This window comes from Homo sapiens, chromosome 14, assembly GCF_000001405.40.
Source record: "Homo sapiens chromosome 14, GRCh38.p14 Primary Assembly".
Classification (NCBI taxonomy): Eukaryota; Metazoa; Chordata; class Mammalia; order Primates; family Hominidae; genus Homo; species Homo sapiens.
The window spans coordinates 101794732-101818002 of NC_000014.9; the positions used below are offsets into that span (position 1 = coordinate 101794732).

Genomic DNA, 23271 nt, shown 5'->3' on the forward strand with positions numbered 1-23271 from the left:
ATCATCGCTCTTGTAAATAGAGTCTTTTCTTCCATTGTGTCTTCTAGTTATTAGTTGTTTATATGAAGGCTATTGAATTTGGGGGCCTTGCTTTCATAACCTGCTTCCTTACTGAATTACCTGATTGTTTGCATCAGTTTTTCAGTTGATTCTTTTGAATATTCAGGTATTAATTAGAGCATCTGCACATAATTTCACCTCTGTTTATAATTGTAAACTCACATGTCTTTCTCTCCAGTTGACTAATAAATTCAGTAAAACAATTTCAGTAAAATGTTACATAGTGGTGGTGAGAGTGGGCATACTTGTCTTGTTTCTGACATTAGTGGGAACGAGAGGCATGATTTTTAGCAACCGTTTATTATTTCATTCTGTGGATACCCCAGTTTTTCAGCTATTATAAATGATACTGTTCTGTTAATCTTTTGTTATCGTTGTTGTTCACATCTTTGAACCTTTCCTTAAGCTTGATGAAGGAGGTACTGGATCAAAGAGCAGGCATTTTCAAAAACCCTTAATAGATATTGTCTACACACTTTCCAGAGAGTAGCACCACATACAGAGTATGTGAGATGCCTGTCCATCATACCTCTCCAATGCTGAGATCATGTAAAAGTTGTAGTTATTTGATAAGTAGAAAAAGGTATTTCATATTTTTATTTTTTTTTAACCAGTGAGGTTGAATATAGCCCTCAGACCTGTTCATTGTAAGATTATTCTGAATTAATGCCTTCATTTAACATTTTTGGACTGGAAGGTGGAAGTGTTAAATAAAGAGACCTTTTTTTTTTAAGATACTTATAGGAAGAGTAAATTAATCATGGACTTGTTTTTTGAGGCCATTTTTAGAAAAGAAAAGACTAGGAGAAGTCAAAGTTATAGCAGAATAATGTAGGACTTATTATCGGCTAACTAACTAGAGACCCTGGGGCAAAAGAGTTGCCGAGTATTTGGTCTTTTGTGAAAGAAGTCATTACATTATTGTTAGAATTTACTTGAATTGTTTAAAATTGGCTTTTGAATACCAGTTAAATATTTTATATCTCTTGCTCTCCTCTCATGCAAATACAATACTTCACCCTCATTCAAAGCAGTTTATTTTCTTTTTTGAGACACGGTTTCGCTCTGTCACCCAGGCTGGAGTGCAGTGGCACAATGTCAGCTCACTGCAGCCTGGACCTCCCAGGCTCAAGCAGTCCTCCCAGCTCAGCCTTCCAAGTAGCTGGGACCACAGGTGCGCACCACCACGCACAGCTAATTTTTGTATTTTTAGTAGAGACGGGGTTCCACCATGTTGCCCAGGCTGGTCTCGAACTCCTGGGCTCAAGTGATCCACCCACCTCCGCCTCCCAAAGTGCTAGGATTACAGCCATGAGAGCCACTGCGCCCTGCCTATTTTCTGATACAATTGAAAGCTTTACCATAAAAGTAGAGGTTTAACTGCCTACAAATGAATTATGCATATATTTACAGGAACTTTGGCTTCTTGCCTGTTAGTTGAAGAATAATAAAAATGGACTGTGCGGAAGTTATCGGAGTGCCTGCTGCTCTTCTAGTCAGCTTAGAAAGAGCCGCGCAGGGAATCTCTGCTTTCATTAGTCTTTTCTTCTCTTGCATGTTTTGATTTTTGTGTCTTCTCGTGATTTGCCATGATATCTTAATGAGAGGACACAGTCCCTGGATTGCTGAGGCAGTTCACACTGGCCATCTGTGCTTCTCAGAGCAAGGGGAAGGTGTTCAGAGCGATGACCCAAGGTGGCCCTTGCCCTCAGGGAACCAGCGGGCCCGGAGTCACAGCGGTGTTCTAGCTTCAGCCCCTCTAAGCCACAGAGAGTTACCACCAGGGCCACTCCCTCTTCAGAACACTGGGGAGCCCGTTGCCTGTCAGACAGCCTGAGCCCAGCCAGCCAGCCCAGCCCCTCCAGGGTACCCCCTCTCCATGGCCCGGGGCTACACACATGACCTTGGCCGTTACTCCATGGTCAGTCTCAGCTCTCTCTGGGTGGCACCCATGGGGTTTAGTTTCCAGCTGCCAGCTGTAATCTCGGCTCATTACCGCACACAGAGACCACTTCTTGGACATTCCCGTCCTCTGTCTGGTCCAGCGCCCTGCTGCCTCTGCTCCTCAAGTGTTTCCTGAACTGCCCTGGCTCAAGCCGTCCTTATCTAAAAAAAAAAAATTTAAAAACTGAGGTGAAATACACATGTTAAAACATAATATTTATTATTTTAACCATTCATAAGTGTACAACTCGGTGGTATTAGATACATTCAAAATGCTGTACACCCATCACTACTATCTCTACCCAAAACTTTTCATCATCCCCAACAAAAACTCCATTAAACAGTAAGTGGCTGTCTCCCCATTCTGCTTTCTGTCTCTATGATTTTGCCCACAGTAGGAGCCTCTTAGAAGCGGAATCGTACAGTATCTGTCTTTCTGTGCCTGGCTTATTTCCCTAAACATAATATCTTCCAGGTCCCCCCACATTGTAGCACGTGCCAGACCCTCGCTCCCGTCGAAGGCTGATGCCATCCTTCAGTGATGTGTGGACGGACACATTCCGCGTATCCCCCAATCAGTGGATGGACGCGTGGGTTGCAGAGCACGCCACACACATTCAGTCAGTACACGAGTTAACAGTTGCGTGCTTGTCTGCCTGTGTCATCCATTCGAGCATCTGCCAAGGACCCAGGAAACACACAGTGTGTCTCCTGAAGGAATGAAAAGCCCTCCTGGCCCCTCTGCCCTCTTTCTCCACCCTCTCCATTTTCACCGAGATGGTTGTGGTGTCACCTCTCGTGGGGTGGCCAAAACCCCAGCCAGGGCCACCTATCCCTTCACCTCCCTCCACCTCGGATTTCCTCTTGGAAAATGAGGCTCCTGACTCACTTGACCTACTGCGTAGGCTCCTAAAAGGGTGTCGGCAAGTTGGCAAGTTAAAAAAAAAAACAATCAGCATGAAAGCACTCCGATGTATGCATACTTTTACTTCGCGTTGGTTCCCTACGTTCTTAGAACAAGGAAGGAGTGTGAGTACTTGCTTTGGATTGAAAGGTTTTCCAGACTAGCTGTAGGAAGTATGAAAGTAACCAAGGTCTCACACACAGCCCCAGCACTCTGGGTGGATTTCACTTCATCTACTCCACTCACCTACGCTGAGCTTCCCTGTGGACAAGCTCGTCCATCCTCTTTAATCACTCCCAGGCCTCGCTCACACAGCAACAAGTGCCTGTCCCTGTGTCCTTGCTGTTGGCAAGCAGAAGTTCCCTGGCAGCCTTTGAACATAGCTGAATGTTAGGTATCTTTGATCTGTCTAAGGAAAAAGTCTATTTTAAACTGTGAAGTGAAGCCAATTTTTTTAGGTCAGATTCTTACCCAACAAAGCATACATCATCCGTGCTCATATAGTTTCCAGTTTAAAAAAAAAAAAAAGTGCTGGCCAGCGCAGTGTGAGTGCACTGTGCACATGATGCCACTGTTCTCTAGGTTCAGAACACCAGCCTTCTGTTAATTACAATAAAATGTCTTCACTAAAATAGAAGCATATTTAATTTGCCTACAAAATTGCTTGGAGAGCCTTAAAAAATAAAACCTTCAGCTGAATGATGTAGAAATGAAAATTTGAAAGTTTTAATCAGAAATACTACCTAGAAATAAAATCAGTAGGATGTATTTACAGGTAGTTTGTTTTTAAGTAAAGAATAAAACAGTGACAGAGGGATCAAAGAATAAAGAATAATTCCTTTTCAAGCCAGGCACAGTGGTGTGCACCTGACTTCTCAGCTACCCACTAGGCTGAGGACGGGGAGAATCATGAGTTCAAGCCCAGCCTGGGCAAAATAGGGAGACCTTGTCTCCAAAAAAATATGAAATAATTGTTTCTTCATTATTGTCTAGTACATAGATTATTGTAGTTATAGCATTTGATGGGAGACCATATTGAGCACTGTGGCCTTTTTGGCCCATTGGGCTGTGGAAGGTATGCTAGGTGGGCTGGGCCCAGCAAAGCGCCCTTCCTTGGTCCTTGCTCAAGCCCTTCACAGGCAGCTGCAGTCTCAGGAAAGGTTCAGAATGTCACTGCGAGGCCAGCGTAGAAGGCAGGTAGGCATGTCACAGGAGGTGAGTGGAAGGCATCCACTCCTTAGCAAGTGCATCATGGGGGACCTGGAATGGGGTCTGTGTTCAGGGGAGAGGGAAATGCTGTTCTTGAGATGATTTGACAGCATATCCCTCTTAATTATGTGCTACCTGGAAGAGGTGTAAAGGGTAGCAAGGTGGTTTTGTAAGATCAGAATTGGGTGCAACTGCTTGATTCATTCATTCAGTACATTTGATGGAACACCTGCATGCCAGCCATTCTGTAGGAGCTGGACCAAGGAAGAGCTTGTGGTCCAAGCCACAGACCGGGAGGGAAGAGGAAGCCTGCCTGGATGAGGGTGGTCTAAGCCGAGATTCCTCAGGTGGCTCTGCTGCATCCCCACGCCGCAGCTGAAGGGATCTTTCTGTTGGCAGATGGCCCATGTTTTTCCAGTGGGACAATGCCCACTGCTTCCTGCATTTTGCTCTGATGGCCGGAGCTGTATTTAGTTGTGTCCTGCCTCAGTCCCTCCCAAGCTGTCCACCTCAACTCAGCATGGGGAGCGCACTCCATATCTGACGCTGGCTTCTCTAAACGTGAGGGGATAGGGAGATGACATATATGCCCTTTTACGGGTGAGGAAAGGACCAGCGGGGATTTATTGAAGGCAGCCTCGCTCCCCATGCTGAGCGACAGCTCTGTCTAGCCCCTCCCTGAGCAGGTGATGAAAACCTGGCCCAGTGCGAGTGACATGGTTGCATTATGAGCCTCTTCTGGGTTGCATTTACTTAGAGTTTGTTTCATCAGTGAGGAAAGTACTCTGGAGACCCAGTTGAACTCTGATAGCTTCAGTGAGCCTACAGACTCAATGCAAAGGTGACAGGCTTACAGGAGAAGGTCCAGGCGGTTCAAAATTGATTTGAGACAGGGAGTCAACCTCCTCTAATCTGTGTTGGTTCCATTTTCCATGCCTCATTTCAGCTAATTTTTGTTTGTGTTTTTTATGTACCTGATCTCATTTATCCAGATTTCCTTGGTTCAGACTTTCTTGGTTCTCATCACAGCCCTTTCTTTGTTCCTAGCCTGTGCCTAAGAGACAGTATTCATTAAGGGATTCTCCCTGCAGTGACTTAATCTATATCTCTTTTTAAAAATTATTTTTATGCCAGGTGCAGTGGCTCACGCCTATAATCCCAGTAATTTGGGAGACCAAGACGGGTGGATCCCTTGAGCCTAGGAGTTTGAGACCAGCCTGGACAACCTTGTCCCTACAAAAAATTTAAAAATTAGCCAGGCATGCTGGTGCACACCTGTAGTCCCAGATACTTGGGAGGCTGAGGTGGGGGGATCACTTGAGCTCAGGATGCTGAGGTTTCAGTGAGCTGTGATCGTGCCACTAGGTTCCAGGGTGGTAGAGTGAGACCCTGTCTCAAAAAATGTACGTATTTTTTTAAATCGTTACTTTAGGCCAGGCACGGTGGGTCATGCCTGTAATCCTAGAACTTCGGGAGGCCGAGGCAGGCGGATCACCTGAGCTCAGGAGTTTGAGACCAGCCTGGGCAACAAGGCGAAACCCCGTGTCTACTAAAAGTTCAAAAAATTAGCCAGGCGTGATGGTGCATGCCTGTAATCTCAGCTACTCAGGAGGCTGAAGCACAAGAATTGCTTGAACCCAGGAGGCAGAGGTTGCAGTGAGCCAAGATGGTGCCATTGCACTCCAGCCTGGGCAACAGAGCAAGACTCTAACTCAAAATAAAATAAAAATTAAAAATATATATAAAATAAAATTGTCACTTTTAATTACTCTGAAAGTAATGTATGCTTGTTTTAGCAATACCAAAAAAAAAAAAAAGGGAAATTTTAGAAATAAAAAACATCCATATGATCCTACAGCCTTACTGCTGGGTATATATCCAAAAGAAAGAAAATCAGTATATCACAGGGGCACCTGCACTGCCATGTTTGTTGCAGCATCGCTCACAATAGCCAAGAAATGAAATCAACCTAAGTGTCAATCAGTGGATGAATGACTAAACAAAATGTAGGACATATAGACAATGGAATATTATTCAGCCATAAGAAAGAATAGAAACCTGTCATTTGCAGCAACATGGATGGAACCAGAGGTGATTGTGTTACGTGAAATAAGCCAGGCACAGAGAGACAAATACCATGTGATCTTACTCATGTGGGAGGTAAAAAAATAATGGATCTCATGGAGGTAGAGAGGAGAATGGTGGTTACCAGAGGCTGGGAAGGGAAGATAGGGAGAGAGGGTGGTTAAGGGCTGCAAAAATACAGTCAGAAGGAATAAGTTCTAGAATTCAAGAGTACAGTAGGGGAATTGTAGTTAACAATAATTTATTATATATTTCAAAGTAGCTGGAAGAGAAGAATTGTAATGTTTCCAACACAAAGAAAAGATACATGCTGGAGGTGATAGGTATCCCAGTTACTCTGACCTGGTCATTACACATTGTTAACAGGCATCAAAATATCACATGTCCCCTCCAAATATGCACAACTATTATATATCAATTTTAAAAAAGAAAAACTCATACCCATACCACCCAATGATGACACTGTGGATATTTGGGGAGTGATTCTTCCTATGATCATTTTATTTCTGATTACACACTGCCTCTTTCACTTATATTTTCATTTTATACATTTATAAGTATTTCTGATGGATATGTAATATTTCACTAGGTATGTGGGATAATCCCTTTGGCATTAAAGTAGTTTCCAGTATTTTAGAACCATAAATAAAACATGATGCCCTCAAAAAGAGTAAGATAGTTAGAAATGAAGTTATCAAGGAGAGAAAAGACTTGCACACTGCAAACTATGAAATGTTGCTGAAAGAAATGGAAGAATACACCAATCAATGGAAAAACATCTCTCGTTTATGGTTTGGAAGACTTAATGTTGTTAAGATGTCAGTACTGCCCAAAGCAATCTACAAATTCAGTGCAATCCCTATTAAAACTTTTACAGCATTCTTTTCCAGAAATAGAAAAGTTTCATCCTAAGATTCATAGGGAATATCAAAGAGATAAGCATAGCCAAAACAATCTTGAAAAAGAACACCAAAGTTGGAGGACTCACACATCCTGACTTTAAAACTTACAGCAAAGCTACAGTAATCAAGACTGTGTAGTACTGGCATAAAGATGAGCCCAGAAACAAACCCTCACATAGGTGGTCAAACGAGTTTTGACAAGGTTTCCTAGACCATTCAATGGGGAAAACACAGTCTTTTCAACAAATGGTGTTGGGAAAACTGGGTACTCACATGCAAAAGAATGAAGCGGGACCTGGCCGGGCGCGGTGGCTCACGCCTGGAATCCCAGCACTTTGGGAGGCTGAGACGGGCGGATCACAAGGTCAGGAGATCGAGACCATCCTGACCAACATGGTGAAACCCCGTCTGTATTAAAAATACAAAATTAGCTGGGTGTGTTGGCACACACCTGTAGTACCAGCCACTCGGGAGGCTGAGGCAGGAGAATCGCTTGAACCCAGGAGGCGGAGATTGCAGTGAGCCAAGATCGCGCCACTGCACACCAGCCTTGTGACAGAGCGAGACTCTGTCTCAAAAATAAAAATAAAAATAAAGAATGAAGTGGGACCCTTACCTTCATAACACATACAAAGATTAGCTCAAAATGGATCAAACACCTAAACCTAAGAGTAAAACTATAATGTTTGAGGAGAAAACATAGGAGAAAGATTTCATGACATTGGATTTGACAGTGATTTCTTGGCTATGATACCAAAAGCTCAGGCGACAAAAATAAAAATAGATAGATTGGACTACATAAAAATTTAAAACATCTCTGCATTAAAGGGCCCAGTCAACAAGAAAAGGCAGGCCACAGAATGGGAGGAGATATTTGAAAAATCATATAACTGATAAGGAGTTAATATCCAGAATATCTAAAGAACTCCTACAACTGAGCAAAACAGCTTGATTTTTTAAATGTGTGAAATACTTAAATAGACGTTTCTCCAAAGAATATAATATCTGCAAATGACCAATAAATGCATGAAAAGATCCTCAACATCTCTGTCATTAGGAAAATGAAAATCAAAATTACAGTGAGATACTTCACACCCACTAGGATGGCTACTATTTAAAAAAAAAAAAAAAAAAAAAAAGGAGCAAAGGCAGGCAGATCACTTGAGCTCAAGAGTTTGAGACCAGCCCGGACAACGTGGTGAAACTCCATCTCTACTAAAAATACAAAAACTAGCTGGTTGCATGTGCCTGTGGTCCCAGCTACTCGGGAGGCTGAGGTGAGAGGATTGCTTGAGCCCAGAGGGTCAAGGCTGCAGTGAGCCAAGATCATGCCACTACACTCCAGCCTGGGTGACAGAGCAAGACCCTCCCTGTCTCTAACAATAAAAATAGTGCTCGCTTCAGCAGCACATAAACTAAAATTGGAATGATACAGAGATTAGCACAGCCCCTGCGCAAGGATGACATGCAAATTCGTGAAGCAGTTGCATATTTTTAATAAATGGCGTTGGGAAAACTGGATATTCATATGCAGAATGGAACTAGACCTCTCTTTCTCACTATATACAAAAATCAAATCAAAGTGGATTAAAGAAATCTAAGACCTTGGCCGGGCGCAGTGGCTCACATCTGTAATCCCAGCACTTTGGGAGGCCAAGGCAGGTGGATCACGAGGTCAGGCGATTGAGACCATCCTGGCTAACACGGTGAAACCCTGTCCCTACTAAAAATACAAAAAATCAGCCGGGCGTGGTGGCGGGCACCTGTAGTCCCAGCAACTTGGGAGGCTGAGGCAGCAGAATCACTTGAACCCGGGAGGTGGAGGTTGCAGCGAGCAGACATCGCACCACTGCACTTGCACTCCAGCCTGGACAGCAGAGCAAGACTCCATCTCAAAAAAAAAAAAAAATCTAAGACCTCAGACTGTGACACTACTACAAGAAAACAATGGGGAAAATCTGCAGGACATTGGTCTTGGCAAAAATTCCTTGAGCAATACCCCACAAGCACAGGCAACTAAAGCAAACAGGGACAAATGGGATCACATCAGGCTAAAAAGCTTCTGCACAGCAAAGGATACAATCAATAAAGTGAAGAGACGACCCACAGAATGGGAGAAAATACTTGCAAACTACTCATCTGACAAGGGATTAATAACCAGAATATATAAGGAGCTCAAACAACTCTATAGGAAAAAAAACTAATAATCCGATCACAAGATGGGCAAAAGATTTGAGTAGACATTTCTCAGAAGACAGACAAATGGCAAACAGGCCTATGAAAAGGTGCTCAACATCATTGATCATTAGAGAAATGCAAATCAAAACTACAATGAGATACCATCTCATACCAGTTAAAATGGCTTATCCAAAAGACAAGCAATAACTAATGCTGGAGAGGATGTGGGGAAAAGGGAACCCTCGTACACTGTTGTTAGGAATGTAAATTAGTACAACCACTATAAAGAACAGTTTGGATGTTGCTTAAAAAACTAAAAATTGAGCTACCATATATTCAGCAGTCCCACTGCTGGGTACATACCACAAAGAAAGAAAATGAGTATATCAAAGAGATATCTGCACTCCTATGTTTGTTGCAGCATTGTTGACAATAGCTAAGGTTTGGAAGCAACCTAAGTGTCCATCAACAGATGAATGAATAAAAAATATATATATATACACAATAGAGTACTATTCAGCCATGAAAAAGAAAGATCCAGTCATCTGCAGCAACATGGATGGAACTGGAGATCTTTATGTTAAGTGAAATAAGCCAAGCACAGAAAGACAAACATCACATGTTCTCACATATTCATGGGATCTAAAAATCAAAACAATTGAACTCATGGACATAGAGAGTAGAAGAATGGTTACCAGAGACTGGGAAGGGTAGTAGTGGGGGTTGGCGGGGGGGATGGTCAATGGGTACAAAAAAAGTTAGAATAAATAAGACCCACTTGATAGCACAACAGGGTGACTATAGTCAACAATAACTTAATTGTACATTTTAAAATAACACTAAGAATGTAATTGGATTGTTTGTAACTCAAAGGATAAACGCTTGAGGGGATGAATACCCCATTCCCATTCTCCATGATGAGCTTATTTCACATTGGATGCCTGTATCAAGACATCTCTTGTGTCTCTTAAATATATATACCTACTATGTACCCATAAAAATTAAAAATAAGTTTTAAAAAATAAGTGTTAATGTCCTCGTGGAGAAATTGGAACTATTGTTGTGCACTGTTTTTTGTTTTTTAGGGTCTGTTTGTTTGAGATGGAGTCTCGCCCTGTCACCCAGGCTGGAGTGCAGTGATGTGATCTTGGCTCACTGCAGCCTGCCTCGGCCTCCTGAGTAGCTGGGCCTACAGGCACGCACCACCAGGCCCAGCTAATTTTTGTATTTTCAGTAAAGATGGGGTTTCGCCATGTTGGCCAGGCTGGTCTCAAACTCTTGACCTCAAGTGATCTGCCTGCCTCAGCCTCCCAAAGAAAGCGCTGGGATTACAGGTGTGAGCCACCACACCCGGCCCTGTGCACTGTCAGTGGGAATGTGAAATGGTGCAGCCACTGTGGAAAACAGTATGGCAGTTCTTCCAAATATTACACATATACCTTGAAACTGTGTATCGCTATTATGCATCAATTAAAAATAATAGAATGGGAAAAAAATAAAAATAGAACTGCCATATGATCCAGCAATTTCACTTGTTGGATATACACCCAAAAGAATTGAAAACAGAGGCATGAGCAGATACTTGTAGCCCCATGTTCATGGCAACATTATTCACAAGTGACAAAAGGTGGAAGCAACCCAAATGTCCGTAAACAGGGAAGAGTGAATAAACAACTTCAGTGTATGCCAATGGAATATCATTCAGCCCTTTGAAGGTAGGAAATTTTGGCACTTGCTACAACATGGATGAATCTTGCGGACATTATGCTGAGTGAAATAAGCCAGTCCCAAAAGGACAAACGCTGTAAGATCTCCTTATGTGAAGTACCCAGAGTAGACAAGTTCATAGAGACTGAAAGTAGAGTGATGGTTGCCAGCACTGGAAGGAGGGAGAATGGAAAGTTACTGTTTAATGGGGACAGAGTGTCAGTTTTGCAAGGTGAAGAGTTCGGTGGATGGATGGTGGTGAGGGTTGCAAGACACTGTGAATGTGCTTAATGCCACAGAACTGTATGCTGAAAACAGTTAAGATGGTACATTTTGTGTTGATGTATATTTTAGCACAATTTTTATTTTTATTTTTTTGTTTTTATTTTACCTTAAGTTCTGGGATACATGTGTAGAACGTGCAGGTTTGTTGCATAGGTATACATGTGTCATGGTGGTTTGCTGCACCTATCAACCCGTCATCTAGGTTTTAAGCCCTGCATGCATTAGATATTTGTCCAAATGCTCTCCCACCCCCTGTCCCCCACCCCCCGACAGGTCCTGGTGTGTGATGTTCCCCTCCCTGTGTCCATGTGTTCTCATTATTCACCTCCCACTTCTCAGTGAAATCATTTAGTGTTTGGTTTTCTGTTCCTGTGTTACTTTGCTGAGAATGATGGCTTCCAGTTTCATCCATGTCCCTACAAAAGACATGAACTCATTCTTTTTTATGGCTGCATAGTATTCCATGGTACATATGTGCCACATTTTCTTTATCCATTCTGTCATTGATGGGCATTTGGGTTGGTTCCAAGTCTTTGCTATTGTAAATAGTGGCACAATTTTTAGACAATTGTTTTTTAATCAATTATAATATTATTAACTCCTTGTATTTATAGCATTTATATTTCCTTTTGCTTGCTTTTGGAGAGAACATACAGAAATTTGTGATTTTAAGATCGGGCATGGTGGCTCATGCCTGCAATCTCAGCACTTTGGGAGGCTGAGGCTGGAGGATCACTTGAGCCCAGGAGTTAAAAGACTATTCTGGGCAACATAGTAGAGACCTCATCTCTACTGAAAATGAAAAAAATGAGCAGTTGTGGTGATTCAAGCCTGCGGTCCCAGCTCTGCAGGAGGCTGAGGCAGGAGGATCACTTGGGCCCAGGAGGCCGAGGCTGCAGTGAGCAGAGATCATACCACTTCCCTCCAGCCTGGGTGACAGAGCAGGACCCTGCCTCCAAAAAAACAAACCACAGAAATTTGTCATTTTTAATATGAGCGCTATTCCTGAGGGGTTTGTTCAGAGGTATTTACATGTTATTTTTTTGCTTGAGAATTGATTATTCACTTTCCCTTTCTTCTAAAAGTTATAGGGATTTGGGGGGGTGGTTTTGATTGATTTTTATTTAACTGTTTAAGCCACGTCAAATTTTATTCTGGTATGATGTTAAGACTTAAATTGACTTTTTTCTGCATATAGTTAATCAGTTGTCTGCCCCAAGATTGCCAAGCAATTATCTAATTCTTCCCCTTCCACTGATTTGAGATATACTCTTTATTATATTACATTTATGTCAACATATTTCTCAGTTTGGGGCTGTGGCTTCTGTTCCATTAATCTGCCTTTTTTGCCCCATCACACTGTCATTAATTCATACAGCTTTATAGTTGGTAGGACTTGCCTTTCTCATTAGTAGTGTTCTCATTCTTCTTGTTCTTTTATTTTTTGCAGGTGAACTTTAGAATACTTTTGCTAAGTACCTGGAAAAATAGAGGCCCACCTGAATTTTAATTGGAAATACTTTAAACCTGTAGATCAGTTTGGGGGGAAATTATCAGCATAGCTGCAGTATTTATATTTTTATATTTCCAATTCAGAAGTACACCTTACCTTTATTCAAGTCTTCTTTTCTTCCCTCATATTATTTGTTTATTTATTTCTATCTTAGAGTCTGTTTTATCAATGATGGCCAGATCAGCCTTGGGTTCTTTAAAGAACTACTTACATGCATAGGGTTTCAAAAGAGTGTGGGGTAAATCACTAATAAAGGCAAGATCCTTTGATCTGAGATCATTAGGAAAAATACATCAAAAAGTGTCTTCACTGTTTCTTTGACTCCTATTCCGTATATTATATATAAAGCTCTTAGGAGCCTTTCCCCCTTATTTCTGTATTCCCACTCATCAGCACAGTTGTAGGATAGGCACATTTTTTCATCTTATCTCGTATGAAATATTAAATCATTGGAGGGCAGGTCTCTGTCTCCTTAAAGCCCAGATCTTCAATAAGCATCTGCTCCTGGGCTCCTTCCTGAGCCCCTGAACGCCTCGTTCCTAATTGTGTCTGAGTTCATCTGGCATCACTCAGAGGAGGAGGAGGAGGAGGAGGCTGGGGTGTGGGGCAGTGAGAGTCATCAACACTGCTTCCTAGTGGTCGTTGGTGATCGGTGGCCATCCCCTCCAGACAGACAACCCACAGGTCAGCAGTGAAGGCTTAGAGGCAGGAGGGCAGCTAAGATCTAAATTCCTCTTACCCAACTGAAAGCACGTGCTCTTTAAAAAAAAAATTAATTCTGCTGTTCAGATAGCAGCAAAGTCAGAGCAGGTGTGAGGCCGGCAGCCTGCTCAGGTGGTGCGTGCCCACTGCCCACTTGTGTTAGAAATCACATCATCTCCTGGCCGGCCATGGAATCCAGCACTGTCTGTCAGCTCTGGGGAAAGAGGGGGAAGGGTGGGATTTGGTTTGCTTTTATCTATTTATTTTAGTTGCTATTGATACACACAATAAAAGCTACATTCTTGTGAGGGAGGACTTGATTAGCAGCCCTGAAGGGCGGTAGCAGTTCCCTTACTCATTGAATGTATCTGGCGCTAAACCCTCAGCTGGAACTGCGAGCCCTAGCTGTATTTCAGGTGTTTCTTACTCTACTGTGAATTATGTTTAGGAACTAAAGGGCTTTTGTATCCTTCACAAGTGGGGGGAAGAGAGCAGGGGAATTGTGTGAGAAACTATTAAAAATGAGGAGCCATGGTTTGGACAAACTTCCTTGTTGGTGTGAAGAAAGGAGGAATTTTTTTCAGTTCCACCTGCCGAAGAGGCTTTTCTTATAGTTCGTTTTCATTTGGAACTACTAATAACACTCATTTTTGTAGGGAATCATCTCACCGCACCCCCTCATGGGATCCTGCAATACTCCATCCAATTCAGAAATAATGTTTTTCTCCTTGGAATAGCTTTTTACATTAACTGTATTTGAAGATAGAAAATTTAGATCTGAATAGCAGCTTTTAATAGCCCCATAAAAATAAGTGAAAATATCTTTAATTTTAAATTTAAACAAAATATCTAAAACTTAAAAGGTATTTAATATGTCAGCATATTTGCAATACAAAAATAAACATGCTCCATTTCATTTTTTTGCTTTCTTACTCCCACGGCCAGGTGATATAAATATTTCAATTTGTGTCACTTTCTAGCTATCGAATTTATAAAGCGGCTTTCATTTTCTACGTAAGTTTTTAAGCTTAATTTTTTCAGGGAAAAAATAGATCTCAAGAAAAAAAGTGTTTGGGATCATAAGTTAATAACTCATCCTATTGGTAAGGGAAGTTGAATAAGAGTCCAAACTAATGGATTAGAATTGTGTAATATTTGCTTAACCATTTGTTAAAAAAAAAAAACAAAAAAAAAACACTGGGTTGCCAGAATCCTACCTAAGATGCAGATATTAATTAGAACTAGCAAGTCGAAGTTGCACAGGTGGGTATAAAATGAATTTGGGATCCCTCACTGGGAAATGCTAAAGTTCACACAGACATATACACACACTTTTTTTTTTTTTTTTTTTTTTTTTTGGTGGCTCCCTCGAAATCATTTGTTTACAGTCTGGCCAAGGTTGTGGCCTCCAGTATTCCCCCTAAGAGATGGGATCTTTGCCTAAAAGTTACTGAGAAACGAAGGCTGCAAAAAGCCGGAAAATATCCCAGCTTTTAAGGCACACTGACAGCCAAACAGAACGCTCTTTCCGTTTGCAGTTTTTTTAGTGTCATTTTAAGTTGCAGCTTCCGGCCAATCAGCGAGCTTCATGCCTGCTGACATCACGAACCAGCCAGTTCCCTCCAGCTGCAGAGAGCTTCAGTTTGTCTTTTTTTTTTTAAACTAAAATGGAGGCTGGTTTCTTGCCTTAAGGAGCCCATTGCCTTTCCCGCTGAAGTCTAGATGTTGACATGTAATAAAGCGGGCAGCAGGATGGTGGTGGATGCGGCCAACTCCAATGGGCCTTTCCAGCCCGTGGTCCTTCTCCATATTCGAGGTAAGTTATTGTGTGTTTCACTGAATCGGAACCTTCCGTGGGTAGTTAATAAATGGCTATTGTGCTTCAGATAAGAAAAGCAGGAAGTCCTTTCTAGCAGAATTCACCCCATTTCGCTGCAGACTTAACCAGAGGAGGTTGGGTGTGTCACTGCAGTTTGGCATTTTACGAACTACTTACAGAATTTGAGGCTTGAAAGAGGCCTTGCATGCATAGTTCAAAGCTGGTTTTTCTGCTTTCTGCTCGCTCTCCCATCCCCCTTTCAAAGCTGTGCTGATGTCAAAGGATGTGAAGTCACTGCCCAGGGAAGGTATTGGGTGGGGGTAGGAAGGAGAGGCGGGCCTGTCGCGCCTGGCCAAGTTGTTCGTACGCAGAGTTTCTGTTACATATGTGTGGCTTAATGCTGCAAAGGTTTTGTCGAGGACACATCTCAGAATTAAAGATGAATTGCAGTCAGAAAATATGCACAATTGATTGGAAAAGAACTTCCTTTAAAAGGATTGTTTTCATTCTTGCCGTGGAGCCTGAGAGAGAAATATGCTCCACTTTGAAATATTGAAATCTATCGTGGGTCATCATTTTTGAAATGTTAGCGTTTTCGTGGAATATTAGGAAATATTTTGCATTTAAATAGGCTCTGTGTTGCCAGTTGGCTTTTAAAATTTTAAATGGCAACAAGTTTTCAAGGTATATAGAGATCACTGTTTTAATAATTAGTTTGCTTCTTTTTATGCATATTTTGGTTTCAAAACTTAGCCTAAAAGCACAACTACTCTAGTAATTAATAGCGGTTATATTGAACTACAGGCATCAGGGTAGTAGCCTACTTATTCTTGGTATTTTAAGATATATGAATTTTTTTTTGGTCATAATTGGGTGAAATAGAAAAATGATTTTAAGCTTCATCAGATCACTTTAGAATTTATAGTATCAGAGCTGTGCCCCAACAAAACTGTTTCTCAGAATCTCTTTTAAGGAAGGGTGGGAGCAAGATTTCTAGGTGACTAATAATCTCTATGACTAAAACGCCAGGCCAGACTTTTCAGATCCTAGGGTGTACCCAGGCACATGCAGACTCAATCTACTGGAATAAAATGGGTGGTGCTTTTCTCTCCAAACTATCTTTCATGAAGGTGGAAATCAGCATTCAATGACCAAATTGTAGGACAGGCTGTGAATTTATTGTTTTTGTAGTGCACCCAGTAAAAAGCAAAGGTTGCCTACAGGTAACATTCAGGTATTTTAGCTGCAAGAACCAAATGGGCAAGAACAAAATGTAATTGTTTGGATTTAAGTTAGATAGCTTTTGTTTGTTTTTTGGGAGACAGGGTCTCACTCTTGTCACCCAGGCTGGAGTACAGTGGTATGATCACAGCTCACTGCAGCCTCCACCTCCCGAGCTCAGGTGATTCTCCCACCTCAGTTTCTTGAGTAGCTGAGACTTCAGGCACGCACCACCATGCCCAGCTAATTTTTTAATATTTTTTGTAGAGATGGGGTTTTGCCATGTTGCCCTGGTTGGTCTTGAACTCCTGGGCTCAAGCGATCCTCCCACCTCCGCCTCCCAAAGTGCTAAGATTACAGGTAAGAGCCACTGTACCTGGCCAAGTTAGTTCTTAAAAACGAACTAGTTAGCAGTAAGATAAATTAACTGCATATAAAATGTAAATTTTTATACTTTTAAGGTATCCACTTATAAATAACATAAATCTTTTTGGTTTGTGTTTTCTGGTTTTTATTAGATGCCTAATATACTACTCAGTTTTTGAATTATGAACTTATTCTGAAATAGAATCATTTCACGTTGTGTCTTGAACCACATTGATTTTTTTTTTAAAATTCCAAGACCTTATTATGGCCAGTTTGTATTTGTTGCTGTTGGTTGGGTGGTTGGTTGCTTGCTGTATAATTGTGGAGGGAAAAAGCAGTGAAGTGTATTAGCCTGAAAGAGACTTGAGTTTTTAAGAAGGGATAACTTTGGAGACCTAAGACTAACTTCTGACTCAAACAGTGGGGGTAATTTCTAACTTCAAAATTTGAAGAACGCTTGATTTACTCATAAAGACTTTTCTGGAGCGAGCATGTTAATGTGAGATTTAGCAAAATTTGATTTATTTATTGGGCCTTAGAGTCTTAGCTTAACATCCATTGAGCAGCTCCGGTGTGCCAAGTGCTGAGCGTCATTACAGTGATTAAGTTGCAGCCCCTGTCCCAAAGGAGCGAATGGAGAGACCCAGCATAGGAGCTCTGCCACGAGAGGGCTAAAGCAAGAACACACCGGCAGGGTGCCCGGGAGAGCAGGGGCTGGTGTCAGGAGCAGAAGGAACCAAGGAGGGCTGCACCCTGGGCTACCCTGCTCACTCGGATGGGGTGGGCATGCGCTGTCCTTCCCGTTTATTTAGGAAGGAGGGGTCTTTCCCACTGAAGGAGAAATAACTTACCCAAGGTCACACAGCCTGGAAGTGGTGGAGCCAGAATCCAAACCCAGACTGTTGTGTTGTTTTGTTTTGGATCTTTTTAAAAAAATCATTTTAAAATAGGAATGTTGGCTGCTTGAAGAACATTTTGCTACAGGATTACAGTAGTGGTATTTTCCCCAATGCCTTACCATTTATTTGGCTCGGTAGCCTCTTTTTGTATAACAGTTTTGTACCTTGGGCTCATTTATTAATCATTTTACAAATATTTATTGATCCATACCACATGCCAGGCAGGGTTCTAATGTGGATATGAGCAGGGGCTATGGCCCAGCTTTCCCAGTTTACCATCCATCAGGGTGGGGACCAAGTAAGTAAGTAAGGAAAATGATCACCTGATTTGTTGTCACGATCGCTTTGACCATTATTGTCTACCAAGTAGTCTGGACTTTGCGATTAAAATGGTGAATTTGCACATCCTAATAAGTTTGAGTGTGAAAGGGACATATTTTTGAGAGTTAGTGTAAGCCCTTCTGTCTGTAGAAGGAGAGTCACCTGGAACTTGATGGCTGTGAATGTAGCTTGGTGACATAAATCCTCACTCTCAGCTGTGTCCAGGAGAACTGTCTGCTGTGGTGGAAATGTTCTGTGCTGTCCTCTGCAGCAGCCCCTGGTCACCTGCGACTGCTGAGCACTTAACATATACAGCTGAGAAAGTGAATTTTTAACTGTAGTTATTGTAAATTTAAGTGGACACACCTGTCTTGTGGCTAGGATATTGGACAGCACAGTCGTAGACTGGAATTGTTCGACTTTTTTGGAAAAGGACCAGATTGTAAGTAGCTTTGGCTTTGTGGGTGAAAGCAGCCATAGACAGTAAATGAATAGGCATAACTGTGGTCCAATAAAGCTTTATTGACAAACAGGTGACAGGCTGGATTTGGCCCATGGACCATAGTTCACCAACTCTGTTCTAGACTGTTCTTTGACTTTCGGAATTGCCTGTTAAGGATAGGAAAGCATGTTTCCTGCAGGCCTTCAGTCTAGTGCCTCCTCCCTGTGCTGGGAAGCTGGGCCAGCCGTGATGCTGTGAGGCGTGGTGGGTGGGCCCACTTCCCACCCTGCAGCGCATGCTCACTTCAGGAGCCAGGTTTAAGGCAGTGACAGCCAAGCCGGAAAGATGGTAATGGCCAGAGAGGAAGCACACAGTTTGAGCCTTTTCCAGCTGGCCCTTATTCTGGGCTTCAAGAATGTTATTAACTGCTCTCATCTTGTTCTAGTCATTAGCAAACTTATCCAGTGGATGAGTCTGTCCTTGAAAGACTCAGGAGTAGCTCCAGCCTGGTGGGATGTTGGAGAACAAACCATTCTTTTGATGTAAACCCATTTTTTCTTGGGAAGTGGAAGTCTAATGGAAAAGTTTATTTTCTCACAAGTACTTCCTGAGTCACCAATTTGTTGAAGGTCTTCACCTTTCCAATAAAAACTCATTAAAAAACATGCAAGAAGCAAGCACAGAACTCAAACCCATGGCTTTCATTTCCTGCTGCGCTAAATCTGGTGACTTAACCTATATTAATAATAACAATAGCTATACATAATGCACATGGGTTGCTAAATTAGTAACACACCTGCATGGTGTGAAGTCAGTAAGTACTAGTGAGAATGGGTGCCCCCTGTTATCTTTATTCCCTAAAATTAGGAAGGAAAAATGTTTGAATGATGACTAAACAGTTCTTCAAATAATTAAACCAGTGATCCTCTGAACAGTGCCTCAGCTCAAGATTTTTACTTCACAAACATCTCTTTACTATGTAACTGCAGCTCTCTGCAAAGTGACTTTATAGAACTACAGCCTTAACCTTACCCATATCCTATCCTGTATCCAATCCTGTATCCTAGGTGTGAAGTTGTTTCTTTCGTATTCCTGGTGGTGTGGAAGGTAACCAAAGTAACAGATAACTCTCTGAGGAAACAGGGGTGGGTATGTTTGTGTAAAGTCTGTACACCTTTTTGTTCCTTAAACACACACACATTTATGCTCATAAACACACTCTCATCCACCTCCCTCATCCATACGCTCTCAATCTCAGAGGCAAAAACAAAAGCTTACCATCCAGCTTGGGTCTAATGTCTGCTCAGGAGGTTTTGCCTTGCAGCAAAAGCTATCTTCTAAAATTTTCTCATTAAAGTATGTTGTGTAGAGGAATGAAAGAAAAATAGAGGTAAGGTTATTAGTCAAGAATAGGGTGTGTGTTTTTAAACCCAGGAAAAGAATAGACAGAAACACAAAGACAAAGTGGTTTGGGATACATCCTAACTTTTGGTTCCATATGTCAAATAAAATTGCGAGGTGGTTCTTTTTGGATCCTACAGCACTTTGCCAATTGTGACAAGCTGTTGTGAACACTCATGTACTTCTTCCTCACAGCACTCCTGCCTGGCAGGTGAGCAGGACAATCCTAGTATTTCTCCTCCCCAAGGTCACCCAGCCTAGAGGGTCCAGTCCAGGGCTGTTGGCAGCACCAAGTACGAGGTCCCGAAGCTGCTGCTGGTGGCTGTCCCAGAGGAGAAGCAGCATACGTTGAGTGCCTTCAGTGTGCTAGGTCACAGCTGAAACCCTGTACCTCTGTTCTCTCTCTGAATCTGCCCAACACTGTGAGGCATTATAACCCTCCCCCACTCACTACCGCCCCTGCCTTTTTTGTCCCCCCGGGAGAAAAAAGGGAGCCTCTTGCCCAGGGCCACAGAGAATGTAGTGAAACAAGATTTGAGCCTCAGTCAGTCTGATAGCAAAGCTCATGTTCTTTGCTCTGCAGACATCAGAGTGTTGAGAGATGCTGGTGAAAGCTCCCACCTCATAGGTACTTTTTGATTTTTACTGTTTTCTGTACAGTGGTAATGGATTTGAGTGTCTGGAGTTCAAAACTCATTTCAGGGTTGAATAGGAGTTTGTTAAAGGTTTACATGCGTATGTTCTTGGTGTGCAGGGAGAAAGTTGATAATCTTACCTGCTGTCCCAGTTCACTTACCAAATCTGCCAGCTAGTAACTGTTGACTTACCTCCTCCACAAAATCAGGAGTATCCCGAGGACAGTCCTGTTGAACTTGTTCTCTGGTGACACTGAGCATTATTCCTAGAGTAGAGGCATCAGTTAGTGTCAGTGGATTAAAAATTAAAAGTTATCTCTGAGTGATCACTCAGGAAATAGCTATCTACTATATTTCTTTTTTGAGTTGGAGTCTCGCTTTGTCACCCAGGCTGGGGTGCAGTGGCGTGATCTCGGCTCACTGCAACCTCTGCCTCCCAGGTTCAAGCGATTCTCCTGCGTCAGCCTCCCGAGTAGCTGGGATTACAGGTGCATGCCACCACGCCCGGCTATTTTTTGTATTTTTAGTATAGACAGGGTTTCACCGTGATGGCCAGGCTGCTCTCGAACTCCTGACCTCAAGTGATCCGCCCGCCTTGGCCTCCCAAAGTACTGGGATTGTAGGCATGAGCCACCACACCCGGCCTATCTGATGTATTTCTTAGCTAAATACCTCATCAGTGGAATGAGAAGCTCATGAGAAGCTGTACTTTATTTTTCTTTCAATCCTCTATACGCTGTAGTTAACGTATTTCAATGAAAAACATATAGGAGATGGCTTTTGCTGCAAGGCAAAAACCTGCTGAGCAGACGTTATACCCAAGTGCAAGAGTAAGACTACCAAAAAGGTGACAGACTTTACACAAGGCGGCTGGTTGAAAGAGCGACACAGGTGCCCACTCCACTCTAGGCCTTGCTCAGGCGCTGTTTCCGCTCCCTGTCACACTGGAAATAGGACCGCCAAGTGGTCTAAACGTGGGATAAATCATTTCTCTCACTCACATCTTGGAAAGACGCTGGCTAAAATGCATGGGGGAAACCAGTACTCCCACAGCAGGTAGAAGTCTGGCTTTATTTGAGGCCCTTGAATTACACATAAATCAAAAACTCTTCTAGTTTAAAAAAGAAAAAAGACTAAAGAGATATAACAGGTACCGTGAGTGAATCTAGATCAGATCCTTGTTCTAAAAAGTGTGAAATCAAACCTATTAGAGACATTTTGAAGGCAGCTGGAGAAAGTGGAGTGCAGAATGATGTTGGATGTGTGGAATTACTGCGAACTTTCTAGGTGTAAAAAGGTGTCCAACTTTTGTAAGGGACTTTTCTTATTCTTAGGGAATGCAGAATGAAGTATTAATAAGTGAAGGATCGTGATCTCTGCAACTTTAAATGGTAAAGAGAAAAGTGGGTAAAAAGCAAATATGTCAAAGCATGAACAGTTGTTGAATCTAGCTGAGGGGATATACAATATACAATTATTCATTGAAATTCTATGGAGATTTTAACTTTTTCATAATGTTTGAGAGAAATAAATATATATATTTATTTATATATATATTATATATATATTATATAAATATATATATAATATATATATTTATATAATATATATAATATAAAAATATTATATATGTATATATATTTTTTTTTTTTGAGATGGAGTCTTGCTCTGTTGCCAGGCTGGAGTGCAGTGGAGCAATCTCAGCTCACTGCAGCCTCCGCCTCCTGGGTTCAAGCAATTCCACTGCCTCAGCCTCTCAAGTAGCTGGGACTACAGGCACCCACCGCCACAACCAGCTAATATTTTGTATTTTAATAGAGATAGGGTTTCACCATGTTGACCAGGATTGTCTCGATCTCCTGACCTCGTGTTCCACCCGCCTCGGCCTCCCAAAGTGCTGGGATTACAGGCGTGAGCCACTGCCCCAGGATGAGAAATATATTTTTAAAAAATAAGGCTGTTTCGCTCTCTTATCATTTCAATATTCTCTGGTGAAGGAAATATCTTTAAAAAGGGTCTGCTTTGGAAAAAATGTACAAAGAAAATGTAATAACTTAGCTACTGTTTCCTAAGCCATGAGCAGTGGCCTTTCATATTTGAGTCTTTGCCAGCCAGTGTTGGTCCTCTGGTTGTAACTCACAGTAGCTGCACAGACGGCCACACCATCTGACAAAACAGCGTTTTTGGGGTGCATAACCGTTTTTGATGTTTATTGGCATTTTTATTGGTCTTTTGGAGTGTAACTGCCTTTGAGCCACACTAGAAGATAAGATAAAACCAAAGTTTCCTCCGCACTTTAAGAGGCAGGGTGTTTGGTGGCTGAGGGTAGGACCTGGAGCCACACGCCAGGGTCAGATCACCCCCCATCCCCCACCCCGCCCACCCCAGGCAAGCTGAACTGTCTAGGGCATGTGACTCACTCTCTGTTTCTAGAAATGGAACGTGAAATGGGAATAATAATACAACCTACCTCTTTGGGGTTTTTTGAAAGTTAAGTGAATGCACATAAAGAACTTAAAATGGCGCCTGGAGTGTCGTGAGACTCAGTGCTCATGGTGTCTGTGGTTGTCTCTTTCGTAGGTCACGTATGGTACTCTAGGGCCCCGCCACTTAGCCATAATCTGTTTTCTTTTTCTCCAGCTGTATTATCTGTATTTGTTCATCTCAAAGCTCATCTG

General features: G+C 42.2%; 1 protein-coding gene, 1 long non-coding RNA gene and 1 pseudogene across 22 annotated transcripts in view, besides 3 other annotated features; 2 read left to right on the forward strand and 1 right to left on the reverse strand.

Moving 5' to 3' along the window:
- The window catches only part of PPP2R5C (protein phosphatase 2 regulatory subunit B'gamma), a 167420-nt gene that overhangs the window by 34159 nt on the left and 109990 nt on the right, over positions 1-23271 (forward strand). For 10 of the 21 annotated variants that reach the window (XM_047431530.1, XM_047431533.1, XM_047431534.1 and 7 more), the window contains exon 1: positions 15104-15305. The exons of 10 other annotated variants lie outside the window; for them this stretch is intronic. In XM_047431530.1, the coding sequence (XP_047287486.1) occupies positions 15252-15305 (54 nt within the window). In that variant the 5' untranslated portion in view covers positions 15104-15251. Of the gene's footprint in view, positions 1-6265; positions 6278-15103; positions 15306-23271 lie in introns of those variants that run through there. One more of the 21 variants, NM_001352912.1, reaches the window with a different exon arrangement.
- LOC124903388 (uncharacterized) lies at positions 345-16259 on the reverse strand. Its single transcript, XR_007064349.1, has 2 exons — positions 15486-16259; positions 345-2166 (listed from the first exon to the last, which is right to left on the reverse strand). It is a non-coding gene; the product is annotated as an uncharacterized LOC124903388 (long non-coding RNA).
- On the forward strand, positions 8496-8600 carry RNU6-790P (RNA, U6 small nuclear 790, pseudogene; annotated as a pseudogene).
- Positions 13261-13555: an enhancer, noted in NCBI's record as "tiled region #9024; K562 Activating DNase unmatched - State 5:Enh". NCBI's record gives its function as "activates a minimal TATA promoter and a strong SV40 promoter by Sharpr-MPRA in K562 cells {active_cell/tissue: K562}" and the evidence as "EXISTENCE:reporter gene assay evidence [ECO:0000049][PMID:27701403]".
- Positions 15305-15887: an enhancer, noted in NCBI's record as "H3K27ac hESC enhancer chr14:102276373-102276955 (GRCh37/hg19 assembly coordinates)". NCBI's record gives its function as "activates a minimal SCP1, AML or CMV promoter by ChIP-STARR-seq in primed H9 embryonic stem cells {active_cell/tissue: H9 hESC(primed)}" and the evidence as "EXISTENCE:reporter gene assay evidence [ECO:0000049][PMID:30033119]".
- Positions 15479-15558: an enhancer, noted in NCBI's record as "active region_9047". NCBI's record gives its function as "activates an Ori minimal core promoter by ATAC-STARR-seq in GM12878 lymphoblastoid cells {active_cell/tissue: GM12878}" and the evidence as "EXISTENCE:reporter gene assay evidence [ECO:0000049][PMID:35858748]".